An 18,019-nucleotide genomic window follows, 5' to 3' on the forward strand; every position below is an offset into this window, starting at 1 on the left:
AGAAGCAAATGGTGATTCAACTCCCCTCCACATAGACTGGGTATGGCATAGAGAGAGAACATTAGTGACAAAACAATTGTGAATTATTTTTATTTAATAATCATTTTATTTTGTTGTTACTTGATTTTTAAACAACTGTTAACTACAATGGTTCTCAAAACTCTTTCTTCCATGGAGGGATCAGCAAACTTTTTCTATAAAGGGCTATATAATAAATATTTTAGACTATGTGAGTCTTGGTTGCAACTATTCAACTCTAACTGTAGCATGAAAGCAGCCATAGACGATATGTACACCATGAGTGTGGCTGTATTCCAATAAAACTTCATTTACAGGCCGGGTGTAGTGGCTCACGCCTGTAATCCCAGCACTTTGGGAGGCCGAGGCGGGTGGATCACCTGAGGTCAGGAGTTCGAGACCAGCCTAACATGGTAAAACCCTGTCTCTACTAAAAACAAAATACAAAATTAGCCAGGTGTCGTGGCACGCGCCTGTAATCCCAGCTACTTGGGAGGCTGAGGCAGGAGAATTGCTTGAACCCAGGAGGCGGAGGCGCCAAGATCTCACCATTGCACTCCAGCCTGGGTGACAGAGCAAGACTCCGTCTCAAAAAAAAAATTCATTTACAAAGAACAGGCGTACGGCCAGGCCCAGCAGCTCACATCAGTAATCCCAACACTTTGAGAGGTCAAGGAGGGCGGACAGCTTGAGTATAGAAGTTCAAGACCAGCCTTGTTAACACAGTGAAACCCCGTCTCTATGAGCAATACAAAAATTAGCCAGGCATACTGGCATGTGCCTGTACTTCCAGCTACTTAGGAGACTGAGATGAGAGGATTGCTTGGGAGGTCGAGGCTGCAGTGAACCATGATCAAGCCACTGCACTCCAGCCTGGGCAACAGAGCAAGACCCTGTCTCAAAAAAAAAAAAATTGTTTTAAAGTGCTTTAGTTTTTAAAGTAACTTAGTATTCAGTGTTATTATATCTTTGGTGTATTCTCTGTTATGCACCTCACACTACACCAACTTGATCCATTATTTTATGCAGCAACCTACTGAGCAGGAGAAAAAGAATAAGAGGAGCAAAAGATGGTAGACTTGATGGACTTCAAGTTTTTATTACTTGCCCGTCTTTTTGCTTATACTTTGCCTTTACACTTAAAAGTTCTTTCATAGAAGCATCTATCTGATCCTGAAGCAGGAAAGAGAAGATTAAAAACAAAACAAAAAACAGAGCAAGAAAAGTCTAGTTGAAGCTGGTAACCTAAAACTTCAGCTGGTCACCTTCCTTACCATTTAACATGACATAGTAAAATAACCACCTTTGTAGAAAACTGAATAGTTAAGAAGCTTAGGCAAATTATTAATGTAAAACAAGCACAGACTTGCTAAATAATGATAAGCTAGTAAAACTATAACTCTCTAGCGCTTTCAATGGAGTACCCCACTGTCACCACCTCTCAAGGTAAATAACATGGGAATCGGTCAATATTTTAATCTAGGCTTTGCAAATTTCAGGAAGTTACTTTCATATTCAGTTTCTCCTCTGTTGCTATAACAAGCAAATAGAAAAAGTAGCATTCTTTGAATATTTTTGTACATGGCTCTTGGGAGGACTAAAAAGTGTATAGTACACAGTGCCAGATGCAGGCTAAATGCGTTCCATTCCTAGTAACTGGGTTCGTTCTTTAGAAGAGAAGAAACATTTACTACTATTAGCATTCGGAGAAAAAATATACGGAGTACAGCAGGTCCTTGAATAACATTGTTTTGTTTGATGTCATTTCATCATAACGTTTTAGAGAAAAAAAACATGATCCCCAGCCGAAGCCACTGTCTGTGTGGAGCATGTGCATTCTCCCCATGTCTGTGTGAGTTTTCTCTGGGAACTCCAGTTTCATTCCACATCCCAAAGCTGCACACATTAGGTGAACTGGTGAGTCTAAATGCTCCCGGTCTGAGTGTCAGTGTGTGTGAGTGTGCCCTGCAATGGAATGATGTCTTATCCAGGGCTGGTTCCTGCCTTGAGCCCTGAGCTACAAGGATGGGCTCTGGCCACCCAAAACCCTGAACTAGAATAAATGGGTAAATAATTATCTTGTCTTTATTCATCTTTCTTAAATGTATATACAGCTCACATTTGTTTCAATTAGAAGTGTTTGGGTCTTTATTAGAGGTCTGTGTAATGCAAAAATAATAATTTTAAAAAGAAAAGACAAAATATTAAAAAAGAAAAAGAAAAAATGAAGACAACAACAACAATAAAAAAACACAAGAAGTTTGTGTAATGCGATGTTTTTGAGATCAGAAATATGCCGTGGTAACTTCTTCTTTTTTTTTTTTTTTTTTTTTTTTTTTTTTGAGATAGAGTCTTGCTGTTGCCCAGGCTGGAGTACAGTGGCACAATATCTCAGCTCACTCCAAGCTTTCCCTCCTGGGTTCATGCCATTCTCCTGCCTCAGCCTCCCAAGTAGCTGGGACTACAGGCACCCGCCACCACACCCAGCTAATTTTTTGCATTTTTAGTAGAGACAGGGTTTCACTGTGTTAGCAAGGATGGTCTCGATCTCCTGACCTTATGATCTGCCCACCTCGGCCTCCCAAAGTGCTGGGATTACAGGCATGAGCCACCGCACCTGGCCTACTTAATTTCTTGTTTATCTCAATTAGCCTATTGTTGTTATGCACCATTTTGCTTAAAGTCTCAGTTTCCAAGAACCTATGAACAATATTAAGACTTACTATATTTTGAAACACAGACATGGTATACAGTAGGCATTCAATAAATGTAAGTCAGACTAAACTGAAGTCAGATTTATTTCAGTATCACATTAGTATTAAAATACCTAATAAAAGTACCTGCCCAATTACCAAAGAAATTTAGATCTTTTTACCTTAAGCTGACTTTTCATAACCTCAACAGTGATATTTTATGAAAGCATGATGTAACCCATTAACCCAAAAGGATGGGTGATGGATTCATAGTTGACTGTCACTCCAAGTACAACGGTTGCTTCTGTTACTATTCCACCCATAATTAAGCTGACCAAAAATTGGCACAGAATCTCAATATATTCTACTTATACAATGAATAAATTTGAAGACCAAAGCCCTTCCCTCCAAATTACACCTAAAAAGGAGTACATATTTAGTGTCCAACAGATACAGTGCAAAATGCTCCCAACCTCCCCATGAGGTAAGAAACATCTGGAATTTATATCCTAAACTCATACATCCAGCAGCATTTATTCCTTGAAGCAAAGCTGTTTTAGATAATCATGGTTCTGCGGGATCTCAACAGGCTATTTAGGCTGCTGCAAAAGTAACTGTGGTTTTTGCCATTAAAAGTAATGGTAAGAACCGCAATTACTTTTGCACTGACCTAATAAAGGATTTCTCAACAGTTCACAATGGAGAGACAGAAAAATATTAACTCCTGGGGCAAGACCTCAAAATATGAGGTCAAATATTCATGAATCAAAGTATCTTAGGTGGCAGTGTTTCATGTCAGATGCCAGCAACTTGTTGATAAGGTGAAGAACTTACTGAATTCTCCAGCCTGAGCCTAGGACCCTGACAGGACAACAGATCTGACATTTTAGAACAAATCCCCTTCCCGCCACACAAGTCAAGCCTAGTGGTGTACCATACCTCTCTGTGTATGTGCCACAGCCTAAATTCTACAATTTCTGGCAGCTCATCAGGGGCTGAATTGTTTTTCGTTGCAGTACTATTTATCTGATCATGTCTTAAACTATGCTGCTGTTTGAGGAGAACTACATACCTTCATTATTAAATACGATCTTTCACAGTCTATACAGATGCCATTCCCTTTGTCTCTTACCTACATCAAGTAAGCCCATTTCACACTAGGTGCCACACCTACTTGGCTAAATGTTTTGCCTAAGGACATACTGAAACAAGAATATAATTTATACTTCAGTCAAAATGTCATATAATTTGAAGGCTCTGCTATGAAAAGCTGGAGATAATCACAGGTCAAAAACCTCTTGACAATCCATTTGTTATTCCTTGAATACACCTTGTACCTGCTGACCTCTACCTCTGCTGGTACTGTCCTCTACACCAGGAGTTCTCAAAGCATGGTCCCTGGGACAGTAGCATCTGCATCACCTGAGAAACATTTTAGAAATGCGTATTCTCCACGTGCTCTGAATCTACTGCAGAAGAAAGTCAAAGGGCAGGGCCTAGCAATCCATGTTTTACCAAGCCAGTAATTCTGGTGCACAGTAAAGCTTGAGAACCATGGTTCCACACTTAAAGAGTGCCTTGTTGTGATCTTTGTTCCCCCATAATGGCTGCTTCTACTTCAGGATGATTTTAAATATCCTTTATAAATGGTTTCCACCTTTGTTGCCACTTAAGAACACAAACCCTTTACATAGCAACTTATACATATCACAAAGGATTACAGTCACATCACATAAGAGTACACTGAGTCTGTATGTTTCCTTCCCCAGTAAGTCACCCCTCCACTAGATTATGAGCTTCTTATATATATTTTCAGAGCTTGGCACATAGCAGGTATCAATCAATGTTGATTATTACATCAAAATATGAGCAGTCGATGTTTTATAAGAAGATGAGACTACTCTAAGCAGTTTGAATTCACACACTGAAAATGTGGTCTTGACTTTCTCTAACATACTGACCTTAGGGGATTTTTCAGCTTTTAGCTTACGAACCACCTCCCCTTGTGCAGCAACTTCATCATACAGAGATTTACTTTCCAGAATACTTGCTGAGGAATTAGAAGAAATATTCTGTCCTATTTCAGCAGGAGGGTTTCCAGGTTTATATTCCTGGCCAGTTTTCTCCTTATATTCAGCTTTCAAAGACAAAAGCTGTTTTACAGCTGCATCTACATCTTCCTTTGGTGCTTTCTTGGCTTTTAATTCACGAACCACATCTCCTTGAACAGCCACTCTATTGTAAAGGACCAAGGAATCCTCAGATGTAGTACAATTATTATTCAGAGAAGGTGTTGGTCTTTCCTTAAAAGGAGCAGAGGTCTACCAAGAGAGAAAACCAAAAGTAAAATAATTAATTCATATTAAATGTTTTCCCACAAAATTATTTCAAACTGATTGTTTTATAATGTTTCCAATTAAAAACAGAAACTTTAAACTTCAATCCCTTAAAAAGCTTAAATGAATAATCTCCTAAGTATTTATCCTAATGAAAAATGACAGGCGTAAACAAAGATAGAGGTACCTACATACTCACTGAAGCATTTTTACTATAGTAAAAACCTGAAAATACCCTAAATCTTTGTCATTAGGGGACTAAAGAAATTATAACATATCCATCAAGTTTGAGAATAAATCACTGCTCTACCACATACTCACTGTGCAACTTTGAGTTATTTTAAGCTGTTTCCTTACTATAAAAGGGGGATAACCATACTTAACCCATCAAGTTGATGGGAAAATAAAAAGTAATCTGTGTAAAGCCCTTAGTCACAAAGGCTGAGAAAAAGTGAATATCAATAAGCATTAGGTATCACTATTAATTTTTTTAGAGATGAAATACATCTAGATTGTTGATAAGGCAAGAGCTCCATCAAACTCTGTGATATAATTGTAACTCATTGTTGTGGAACAGTTTCATTTGTGTAAAATTATAAATTTACAGGTATCTATTTGTGTATAAAATCTAGAGCTATGTTCACTAAAATCAACCCTGAAGAGTGAATAAAGATACTATTTTTATTCATGCTTTCTGCTGCCTAGACTGCATTCTTCCCTACTGAAACCCTTCTAACATTAAAACCCAGCTCACATTATACCTTTCTTTCAGCTTTTTTCTTTTAAATGATCTGCCACTTAATTTTTCAGAATAATCTTATCCATATTCACAGTCTTATGTACAAATTCCAAAAATTTTCATCTCTATTCCAGAATTCTGTCCTGATCCCAGACCCAGCATTTTCAATGTCTTCAAGACATCTTTACCTAGACACTTAACAGGCATCTCAAGCTGTATCAGAGTTGCATTTTACACAGGCGTTAGGCTCTCAAAGTGGGCATGTCAGTAAAAAAAACCCATCGCTCAAAATTCCTTCCCCATAATTCCTTAAATCACTCATATTTATTTTTAGTGAGATTCTATATGTACACTCAAACACTAATATGCATATATAAATGCATATACATTAAATAAATAATACAATTCATGTAGCCACCCTATATCAAAAATATATATTTGTTCAGCTACATTTTTTTTTTTTTTGAGACAGTGTCTTGCTCTGCCGCCAGGCTGGAGTCCAGTGGTGTGATCTCAGCTCACTGAAACCTCCGCCTCCCGGGTTCAAGTGATTACTGTTCCTCAACCTCCCAAGTAGCTGGGATTACAGGCCTGCACCACCACACCCAGCTAATTTTTACATTTTTAGTACAGACAGGGTTTCACCATGTTGGCCAGGATGGTCTCAATCTCCTGGCCTCGTGATCTGTCCACCTCGGCCTCCCAAAGTGCTGGGATTACAAGCTTAAGCCACTGCGCCTGGCCTGTTCTGCTACATTTAATTTGCAACATAAATCATCTCATTCATGGTTAGTAAACAGGGGAACATATGAGTGTAACACCAAAAAAAAAAAAAAAAAAATCACACTGCCTTGTGTGTGATTTTTTCCCTGTGTATTCCAGTTTTATGTCAAATAAAGAAGCATGCAGGAACAAGCTTTTCATAATTAAAGAGAAAACTTTAGAAATACATTGACAATCTGAAGAAAAACCCAAAAACCTTTCATATAAGTGCCTTCCTTTAATGAGGATGATGCTTAAAAAACATTTTTTACCATAACATTAAGCCCTGGATGAGAATTTAATTTTGATAGTATCAGCCTCTATTGGAGAAAAATATCCTCAAAGATCTACACATCACAGGGAAAAGCATTATTATCCTTCAGGTTTAAAGCTGCAAAGGATCTCTGACTGCAAAGTTGGGTATAAGTGGCAGTCAACTGTACCTGAATATTGAATTTCTATTCAAAAGTGTGCAGGTTTCAAAGCATGTCCACAAATTTTTTGACTTTCCTCCCACCAAGAAGGGGGATCTCTGTGCCCTTTCCTGAATCTGAGAAAGCTTGTTACTGATTTGACCAACAGAGTACAGCAGAAATGATGTTATGTGAGACTTACAAGTCTAAATCCTAAAATGCAATGCTACTCCCACCTCATCTACTGGACACTCACTTTTGGAGGCCTTAAATGATAGTTAAGAAGTCTTATTACCCTGCCACTGTCATGCTAGAGAGGCCACTTGCAGCTATTGCAGTCAACTATTCCACCTGAGCTCCCAGCCAACACCAATATCAACTTGGCATCCAGGTGAGGAAACAATTTTAGAATCCAGCCCAGGCCAGGTGCAGTGGATCATGCCTATAATCCCAGTACTTTGGGAGGCCGAGGTGGGCAGATCACCTGAGGTAAGGAGTTCAAGACCAGTCTGGCCAACATGGCGAAACCCCATCTCTACTAAAAATATAAAAAAATTAGCTGGGCATGGTGGTGCGTGACTTTAGTCCCAGCTACTTGGGAGGCTGAGGCAAGAAAATCGCTTGAAGCCAGGAGGTGGAGGTTACACTGAGCCAAGATCATACCACTGCACTCCAGCCTGGGCAACAGAGCAATACTCTGTCTCAAATAAAATAAAATAAAAATAGAATACAGCCCAGTTGAGTCTTTGATGACTGCTACCCAGCCACCATCTGACTGAAACCACATGGGATACATAGGTTTTTAGTGGTTTGCCTCAACTCTGTTTTTCTTGAAAAATCGGCTGTTATTTTCGGTATGTGATTTTGCAGAACATGAAGTTTTTCAAGAACACATACTAACTTATAGCATAACACCAGTTATCTTTCTAGGATATGTAAAAAATGATAGGCACAGATGGGAACTGGAACCAATGAGGGAAAAGCAACCAAATTTCCCATCTCATGCTTACTCCATGAGTTATTGAATAATATATAGTAGCAATTTTCAAGGTGTGGTCCACAGACCCCAAGGGGTATATAAAACCCTTTTAAAGGGGATCTGCAAAGTCACAGCTATTTTCACTATATTACGATGTATTTTGTCTTTTTCGCTCTCATTCTCTCATGACTGTTTGTACAGGTTTTTAGAAGCTATTAAGTCAGATATTAAAGAGATCTGTAAAAATTTAAAACCATACCGCTCTTTTAACTAAAATTTTTATTTTGGAAAATTTTTTTTAATAAAAACTTTTCGTATGTTAACATGTAACTGGATTTATTATTTTTACATGAATTAAATCCTTTTAAAACTTCTCAATTTTTAGTATGATAAATGCTGATAAATATAACCCACATAAGCAAATCATTCTTAAGAGTATAAGGGGTCTGGCCAGGCACGGTGACTCATGCCTATAATCCCAGCACTCTGGGAGGCCGAGGTGGGAGTTTCACCTGAGGTCAGGAGTTCAAGACCAGCCAGGCCAACATGGCAAAAGCCTGTCTCTACTAAAAATACAAAAATTAGCCGGGCGTCATGGTGCACGCTTGTAATCCCAACTGCTCAGGAGGCTGAGGCATGAGAATTGCTTGAACCCGGGAGGCGGAGGTTGCAGTGAGCCCAGATCGCGCCACAGCACTCCAGCCTTGGGTGAGAGTGAGATTTTAAAATCTTACATGAAAGGATAACAACAAAATGCAAAGAGCAAGACTTAACTGTCTTCTTCAGTCTCCACAGTAAGAAAGATAATCATCTGTAAAGAAATATATTCTAAACCCTGGGATAGAAAGACCATTTATTTTTATACACATATCCGTAAAAGTCATTACCTCATTTTTTGTGGCTTCTACTTTGGTCTTTTCCTTTGACCCTGATGTTGGCATTTCCTTTGTGTGCCCATCAGGAATGTATATCAAAACACACGGGGCTTCCTTGCAACTATATGGGCTAAAAAGAAAATAAAGGGACAAAATAGTTTATTTGAACAAAATTATCTGAACAGCAATAAACACTGAATTCCTAGATAAATTCAATGGCACTAAGTTAATGCTTTTCTTTCTTTTTTTCTTTCCTTTTTGAGACAGTCTCACTCTGTCGCCCAGGCTGGAATGTAGTGATGTGATCTAAGCTCACTGCAGCTTCCACCTCCTGCGTTCAAGTGATTCTCCTGCCTCAGCCTGTAAGTAGCTGGGATTACCAGCCACATGCCACCACACTAATTTTTGTATTTTTAGTAGAGCCTGGTCTTGAACTCCTAACCTCAAGTGATCCGGCCACCTCAGCCTCCCAAAGTGCTGGGATAACAGGTGTGAGCCACTGCACCTGTCCAGTTAATGCTTTTTGAAGTATAAAATAGTCCATTGTCTTACTATTCAAATCAGAGGCTCTTCAGAATAGTTTTACAAACAACAAATGCATAAATAAAAATTGACAGTCTTGGCCGGGCGCAGTGGCTCACCCCTATAATACTGGCACTTTGAGAGGCCAAGGCGGGTGGATTGCCTGAGTTCAGGAGTTCAAAACCAGCCTGGGCAACACGGTGAAACCCCATCGCTACTAAAATACAAAAAATTAGCCAGGCGTGGCGGCGGGTGCCTGTAGTCCCAGCTACTCCAGAGGCTGAGGCAGGAGAATCACTTGAACCTGGGAGACAGAAGTTGCAGTGAGCCAAGATCACACCACTGCACTCCAGCCTGCGTGACAGAGTGAGATTCTGTCTCCAAAGAAAAAAAAAAAATTGGTCAGCCGTGGTGGCTCATGACTCTAATCCCAGCACTTTGGGAGGCCAAGGCAGGTGGATTACCTGAGGTCAAGAGTTCGAGACTAGCCTGGCCAACATGGTGAAACCTGTCTCTACTTAAAAAATACAAAAATTTAGCCAGGTATGGTGGCGGGCGCCTGTAATCCCAGCTACTTTGGAGGCTGGGGCAGGAGAATCGCTTGAACCCAGGAGATGGAGATTGCAATGAGCTGAGACTGCATCATTGCACTCCAGCCTGGGCAACAGGAGAGAAACTCTGCCTCAATGGAAAAAAAAAAAGAAAAAAAATTGACAGTCCTTATTACAAACTTCCAATCTATGAACTTTCGTCCATATGAACAAACTATGTCCAGGGCAAAATTATATCTGCTATGCCTGCCACTAGAAAGGGCGTTAGTGAATGTTAATGATACTCTTGACTTCAAGAAAATTTGTCTACATACCACACCTAATCTGCTTATAAGCAGAAAAATTTCTGTAAAACATTTATTTATTTTAAAATATTTAAGGGTGGGTATGGTGGCTCACATCTGTAATCCCAGCACTTCGGGGGGCCATGGCAGGTGGATCTCTTGAGCCGAGGAGTTCAAGACTAGCCTGGGAAACATGGTGAAACCCTGTCTCTACAAAAAATACACAAACTAGATAGGTGTGGTGGCACATATCTGTAGCCCCAGCTACTCAGGAGACTGAGGTGGGAGGATCACCTGAGCCTGGGGAGGTCAAGCCGCTGCACTCAAGTCTGGGTGAGAGTGAGACCCTGTCTCTTAAAAAAATAATAATTTATAAGAATTTCTCAATTTCAAAGGGTATAGTAATTAGCAATAATCTATTGCCACTTTTTGGCAATTATGAATAATGCAGCTGTAAACATTCATGTACACATTTTTGTGTGAACATGTTATTTTTCTTTGGCAAATACGCAGGAATGGAATTGATGGATCAAATGGTAACTCCGTGTTTAATTTTTGGAGGAATCATCCAACTGTTTTTCCAAAGTGGCTGAACCATTCTACAACCCTACCAGCAATACATATGGGTTCCAATTTCTCCACATTTCTAACCCTTGTTATTGTCTTTTTTTATTTCAGCCATCCTAGTGGTATGCAATGATATTTCATTGTCATTTTCATCTGAATTTCCCTAACAACTAATGATGCTGAGCATCTTTTCATGTGCTTACATTTGTACATCTGCTTGAAGAAATGTCTACTTAAATCCATTGTTAATTGGGTTCTCTTCTGGATACAAGTCCTTTAAGAGACATATGTGCAAATATTTTCTCCCATTCTGTGACTTATCTTTTCACTTTCTTTGAAACACAATATATGTTAATCTTGATGAAGTCCAATTTATTTTTTTTCTTTGGTTGATTGTGATTTAGGTGTTATATCCAAAACAGCATTGCCAAGGTTACAAAGATTTACATTCACGTTTTCTTCTAAGAGTTTTATAGTTTTTAGCTCTTACATTTAGGTCTTTGATAAATGTTGAGTTAATTTTTGTATATGATATGAGAAAGTGCCCAACTTCACTCTTTCATGTGTAGCTATTCAGTTCTTCTAGCACTATTTGTTGAAAAGTTCAAAAACTTTCTAAGAATAAAATGAGAACCTACTCTGTTATTTTAGTTGGTGGTACCACCACCATTACTAAATACTTAAGGAGGGCTTAGCAACTATTAGGCACTATGCTACACTGTATGCATGCGTGAGCTTATGTGACTAAAGGAAATGTGATATTAAAATGAATAAGGTTACTCATATGACGAAAAAGCCACAAGGCCATTCCAGGAAAAGGCATCAAGTGCTTTTGAAAAGCCCCAGGCAATTTGGTACATATGTTAAAAAGAAGGGATCAGGGCGAGAAAACTCCAACACCTATGGCTCAAGAGACGCCGTAACATGAAAAATCTTGCATATCAAACTCAAAAGTTTAGCCTTTACTCTGAAACTAACAACAATGTTTGTTTGTTTTTGAGAGAGTCTTGCTCTGTCACCAAGGCTGGAGTGTGGTGGTGCAATTATAGGTCACTGTAACCTTGAACTTGTGGGCTCAAGCAATCCTGCCGCCTCACCTGCTTGAGCAGTGAGGATTACAGGTGTGTACCACCATGCCTGGTTAATTCTTTATTTATAATTTTTTGTAGAGATGGGGTCTCACTATGTTGCCCAGGCTGGTCTTGAACTCCTGGCCTCAAGTAATCCTCTTGCCTCAGCCTTGCAAAGTGCTGGGATTATAGGCATAAGTCATAGTGGCTGCCCTACTAATAGAGATTTTTTAACAGTAGAGAAATGTGATAAAACTGTTACTCTTAAATTTTCAGACTGGTGGGCATGTGAAAACTGAACAGAAAAAGGATGAAATTGGAGGCAAGGAGATACCTGAGAGCCTGTTTTGGCAATCAAGGAAGCAATGTTATAGCCTGAAATAAGGCAGAGCAGTGGATCCACAGAGATGGACCAGATGGGCAACACAAACGACAGAGTTTGCTGAGTGAAAAAAGGGATGAAGGGGAAGCATAAGTCAAAGATGACACCTAGATCCTGGAATTTTGAACACGTTGAGTTTGAAATGCTTGAAAGAATCTATTCACAGATATCTAAAGCAGTTAGATTCACAAGACTAAATCTCAGGAGAGGCGTTTTGACTACACAGTTACAGAGATATCACTTAAAAAAATAGCAGAGACAAACAGAAAAGAAAAAAAAGGGACAAAAATTTACATAGAGTTCTCCTTCTAATAATCCTATTACTTCATGGTTAAAAAAAAAAATACAAATACTGGTTATTTCTTCCCTCTAAATGTATGCTGTTTGTACCATTTATCTAGTGAAAATACACTACAAAGAAAAAGATAATGGTAATAATTTTCACCCAAAGATAGGTAATATACAGACTGAAATTTTGTTCTTTATACTTGGGCTACAGGAAAGTTAATTATAAGAGGTTTAATTTCAGAAATGAATAATTTATTAATGTTCAATGTGCGTGTTGTTTCAAAGATCACTTGTTAAAATAAATTACTTGTCTAAAATGTTAAATATAAAATAAAACTGAGAGACTGAGAAAGAAAACTGTTAGGTACGTTATTTTAGTGAAAGTTCAATTTCTAAAATATTACTCACTATAACAACTTTAAGCATTTTCATTTAGACGTTCAGTTACATTTACTTACCTAACAGGTTCATAAGGTTGATCACATATGAAGAATCCTCTTCTCTGGAGTTGTATAATATCTCCTTTTTTCAAATCCTTAAGGCAGGGATCCCCTAGCATTAGCTCTTCATGCTGTAAAGATGATATAAACCAAAGTACACTTTCTCAAAATCATAGTAGTAAAATAACTCTAAAATGCAAGCAGTTTCCACTAACTAAAATACTCCCATTTTAAACAGATATGTTAAAAAGTTCACTACTTGAGGACACACAATGAAACGGTGAAGTGTTAAATGACAATTCAATTTATCACATTTTTAAAAGTTAACATTCATAAACTGGCCTCAAAAAACCTTTTAAATAACTTGATTAGCATTCCAGAAGAAATAATTTCCCTGCTATAAATATGAAATATGATGCAAGAAGCATGTAATAGACTTAGGTGAAAGGCATGCTGGCGTAAGGCTTAAATACGAGGGTCAGATTTGAATCCCAACTCTACTATTTACTGTTTGTCCTCAGGTAAGTTACTCAACTTCACTGTGTTTCACTTCCTATCATCTATAAAATGGAAACATTACTTACATCGTTTTTTTTTTTGTTTTTTTTTTTGTTTTTTTTTGTAGAGACGGGGTTTCACCATGTTGCCCAGGCTGGTCTTGAACTCCTGAGCTCAAGCGATCCACCCATCTTGGCTTCCCAAAGAGCTAGGATTACAGGCATGAGCCACCATGCTCGGCCAACTTACATCATTTGATTTAAATAAAATTCTACACATCTTATCCATTTTATCTGAGGATCCGAAATATATAAAATTAATTTTTTTAATTCTAAAGGAAAATTTAAAAGGTGAAATATGGTTTCTTTGGAAGGTTACCTTACTGTTCTTGTTGACATACTGCTTAAAGTCCTCGTCTTTTCCTAGCACTGGCTTTGTGATCAAGTGCTCATAAGTGACACAGATTACTGGAATAGGAAGAGCATGTGTAGTCTCTGCAAGCCAAGTGACCTTAGTGGTTTTCTTGTAGTCTTTGTTTTCCAAATTCAACTTTGCATCAAGAGATATGATTTTTCCATCTGCATTTCTAGATATAAGATTAAAAGTATTCAAAGAAATATTAACCACAGCTGCCATAAATTCATTATTTTGTTCTATAATAATTTTATATTATTATAAAATAATTTATTGTTTTATTTTGTAATAAATGGATAAGAAATTTTCTTTGGAAAAATTCCAAATCAAACATTTATTTGAGCTTCTAACATGCCAGACATATATTGGTTAATAAATACAACATAATCACTGACATCGAGATACTAATAATCAACTAGAGAACAGATTCACATACAATTGATGAGGAACATGTATATATTTATTAACTTAAAGTCACCTGCATCAAGCATTATAAAATTTGAATTACTATGTTTAAAAACATTTGGCAGTTACTTGCAATCATATGTAATAACTACGCAATTAAGATTTCAGAGTTTGCATAAATCAGTCTTAAGCATACTATGTTTCATTTATAGAATCTGAAGATCATATTCCTAAGTGTAGCACACTATAGTAACTAGAAAGTCAAATTAATTATTAACCAATCAGTTTTAAAGTAAATTTTAGTAAAAAGATTATGTTATACATATAAATTCTGTCTAAAAGATCCCCATGTCATGCAACTGTATAGAGTCCCTTTTTATCATGTAATTTCTCATTAAAGCATTACAACTATTTTTTATATCCAGATGTAGTAATTTTCAACACCACAAATAAAAGACATCTTGATAGCCTGTTAGTAAACTGAAAGATATATGGAAAAAAATTTAACTTGTGTCCAGAATTTGCAGTAGCTATGTCTGGGCAGATTTACTAGTCAGCAACATGTATGGGTCTGAATTTGGTAATGTTTAATAAGTAAACACAAATAAAATACTTTTCTCCTATGTTTATTTGAAAACAAACAAAAAGTTCTTACTTGTGTATTTTTGTAATGTTGAGGTTGCCCCAATTTATAAATGTAACCATCTCACCCTCCGAAAAAGTCTCTGCATCAGCACCTTCAATGAAAACTTTGGGACTATACCACACAGGCTTCAAGCCAACCTCAGGATTCTGATTGATAAAGAAAAGCAGAGTGTCTGTTGAAACAACAACTTATTGAACCCAGTATGCAAATTTATACATTCATTCTATTCTTTAACCATACAAAAGTCTTCTGTGTTACTAAACTGTTAGCAGTTCATTGCTGTATTAGGAAGAAAATGCTTTACTCTTTCTCCATCTATGTATTTTAACATAAACATATTCCCAATTCTGTTCTTAGCATTTAAACAATACATACTCGGCCTCAATAGAAATCAATAGTTTGAATTCCAGCTCTGTGACATCAGATCAGCAACCTGACCACTAATGTTAATGGAATTAGATGAGGTAGCTTGCCCCTAAGATTACTTCCAGCCTACAAGACTCATTGATTTCACAGCTAAGACAGTATACTTTATCATTTAGTATCTCTTCAACTAGAATCTGTTTCCTATCCTTAGAATCCCACTGCTTCGCCGGGCATGGTGGCTCACACCTGTAATCCCAGCACTTTGGGTGGCCACTGCTTCGCTGGGCATGGTGGCTTACGCCTGTAATCCCAGCTGAGGTGAGCAGATCACGAGGTCAGGAGATCGAGATCATCCTGGCTAACACGGTGAAACCCCGTCTCTACTAAAAATACAGAAAGTTAACTGGGCGTGGTGGCATGCACCTGTAGTCCCAGCTACTTGGGAGGCTGAGGCAGGAGAATCACTTGAACCTGGGAGGCAGAGGCTGCAGTGAGCCGAGATTGCATCACGGCACTCCAGCCTGGGCAACAGAGCGAGACTCCGTCACCAAAAAAAAAAAAAAAAAAAAAAAAAAAAGATAAAAGAATCTCACTGCTTCTGCAGCAAAGGAGAAAATAAGTCATTCTTGAGCAGTGGCTATGGGACATTATAGGACAACAGATGCCACCTTAGCAGGAAATTATGGACCTTTCAGATTTTAGAAGACAAACTTTAAAGAAAGTATTATCTATATAGATATAGATAAGTAAATTTTCTGCCTTTCTAGTGTGTATGATATGGAAAGAAAAAGAGATGCGGAGAATAAAAAGAACGCCATAATTTCAGTTTTTATTTGGCAGAATTAAAAAAAAAAAGTAAGAAGATCTTTTGAAATAAACATTAACCAGCATGTGTTTAACAACTGTTCAATGAACTCACCAATGCATTTCAGAAAAATCAGTATGTTTTAACAACAGATAACATACTAAGCTCAGAATAGAATACTGACAGGCTAAATAAAAAATACTTTGCGACGGAAATGTTATAATGAAAATTCCACAGAGCAAACTGAGTAATCCAGTCACAATTTAAGAGTGTGCTTCCTTAACAATTAGTTCTTATTTTTAACAATGAGCAGTACTTAGTAATTTAATTTTTTAAATTTTATTTGAGGTAGGGCTTTGATCAGTCACCCAGGCTGGAGTGCAGTGGTATAGTCACAGCTCGCTGCAGCCTTGAACTCCTGAGCTCAAGTGATCCACCTACCTCTGAGATTATAAGCATGAACCATAATGCCTGGTTAATTTTTTTATTTTTCGTAGAGACAGAGTCTTGCTATGTTGACCAGGCTGGTCTTGAACTCCTGGCCTCAAATGATCTTCCCACCTCCACCTCTCAAAGTGCTAGGATTACAGGCATAAGCCACCAACCTAGCAATTTAATCTAAACTATCAGACCACAACTGTCATTTTAAAAAATAAGCACCCTTCAAAACTTTTATTCTCAAGATTCAAATTTTAAAATATTCAATATGCTTCAGATTTATACTAACTGTATGGTAGGTGATATGGCAGGTCAGATACTACTACTTACCTGGTCAAAACAATCAGATATAAAGAAAGACAAAGCCAAACCAATCAACTAAACGCGCACCCCAAATCTTATTAGGATTCAAATCTTTAAAATTAAAAAGTAGATAATGACATACATGGGAAGACAATCATATAAAGCTACAATTTAGAATATGTATAGCTCTTTGCAATGCACATCATCTTATATGTGAGTTAGTCTACGAACACAGTTATAAGCTTGGCTACTAGTATATGCGTTAGTCTGTGAACGTAATTTTCAGTATATAATAAAGTTATTTATAGACAACTTGTAAAGCTGAAATAAAACAACTCTTTTACCAGCCTGGGCAACATGGTGAAACCCTGCCTCTATAAATACCAGCCTTGGCAACATGGTCTAAACCTGTCTCTACAAAAAAGTACAAAAATGAGCCAGATATGGTGGCATGAACCTGTAGTCCCAGGTATTCAGGATGCTGAGGTGGAAGGATCACTTGAGACCAAGATAGAGGATGCAGTGAGCTGAGATCAGGCCACTGCACTCCAGCCTGAGCACCAGAGCAAGGCCCATTTCAAAATTAAGAAAAAAAAAAAATCTTGTTTTGCTTCAAAATTGTCAACTAAGCAGTCATAAGGATCTGGGATGACCACAGCTTAACAAAAAAGTACTCTATGGTACTTGTATTTAAGATTTCTATTCAGGGCTGGGCACAGTGGCTCATGCCTATAATCCCAGTATTTTGGGAGGATGAGGCAAGCAGATCATTTGAGGCCAGGAGTTCAAGACCAGCCTGGCCGCCAACATGGCAAAACCCCATCTCTACTAAAAATACAAACATTGCTGGGTGTAGTGGCGCACATCTGTAATCCAAGCTACTCAGGAGGCTAAGGCATGAGAATCACTTGAAGCCGGGAGGCAGAAGTTGCAGTGAGCCAGAATCATGCCACTGCACTCCAACCTGGGCCACAAAGCGCAACTGTCTCAAAAAAAAAAAAAAAAAAAATTCTATTCAGAATTTAGATGGACCCTTCACTTATACTTTCCAAACAGAGGAAATGACAGTGTAAGAGACTCTGAAGTCAAGCTGTGATTCAACAGTAGTAGGTCTAATGTTTTGGCTTAAAGACAAAGGTGACAGGGAATACCCTAGTTAATAGAGAATGCACTTCAGATTCCATATAAAGATAGGAGCTTGAATTATAACTCATCTTTCAGGATT

The 18,019-nt window shown here is 37.9% G+C and overlaps 1 protein-coding gene across 1 annotated transcript in view; it reads right to left on the reverse strand.

The window, feature by feature from the left end:
• Positions 1-18,019, reverse strand: part of EPRS1 (glutamyl-prolyl-tRNA synthetase 1) — a 77,906-nt gene that overhangs the window by 23,711 nt on the left and 36,176 nt on the right. Inside the window, exons 14-18 of the mRNA NM_004446.3 lie at positions 14,892-15,028; positions 13,796-14,003; positions 12,938-13,050; positions 8,828-8,945; positions 4,673-5,032 (exon numbers count right to left, since the gene is read on the reverse strand). Of these exons, the coding sequence (NP_004437.2) occupies positions 4,673-5,032; positions 8,828-8,945; positions 12,938-13,050; positions 13,796-14,003; positions 14,892-15,028 (936 nt within the window). The remainder of the gene's footprint in view (positions 1-4,672; positions 5,033-8,827; positions 8,946-12,937; positions 13,051-13,795; positions 14,004-14,891; positions 15,029-18,019) is intronic.

This window comes from Homo sapiens, chromosome 1 (genome assembly GCF_000001405.40).
Source record: "Homo sapiens chromosome 1, GRCh38.p14 Primary Assembly".
NCBI classification, from domain to species: Eukaryota; Metazoa; Chordata; class Mammalia; order Primates; family Hominidae; genus Homo; species Homo sapiens.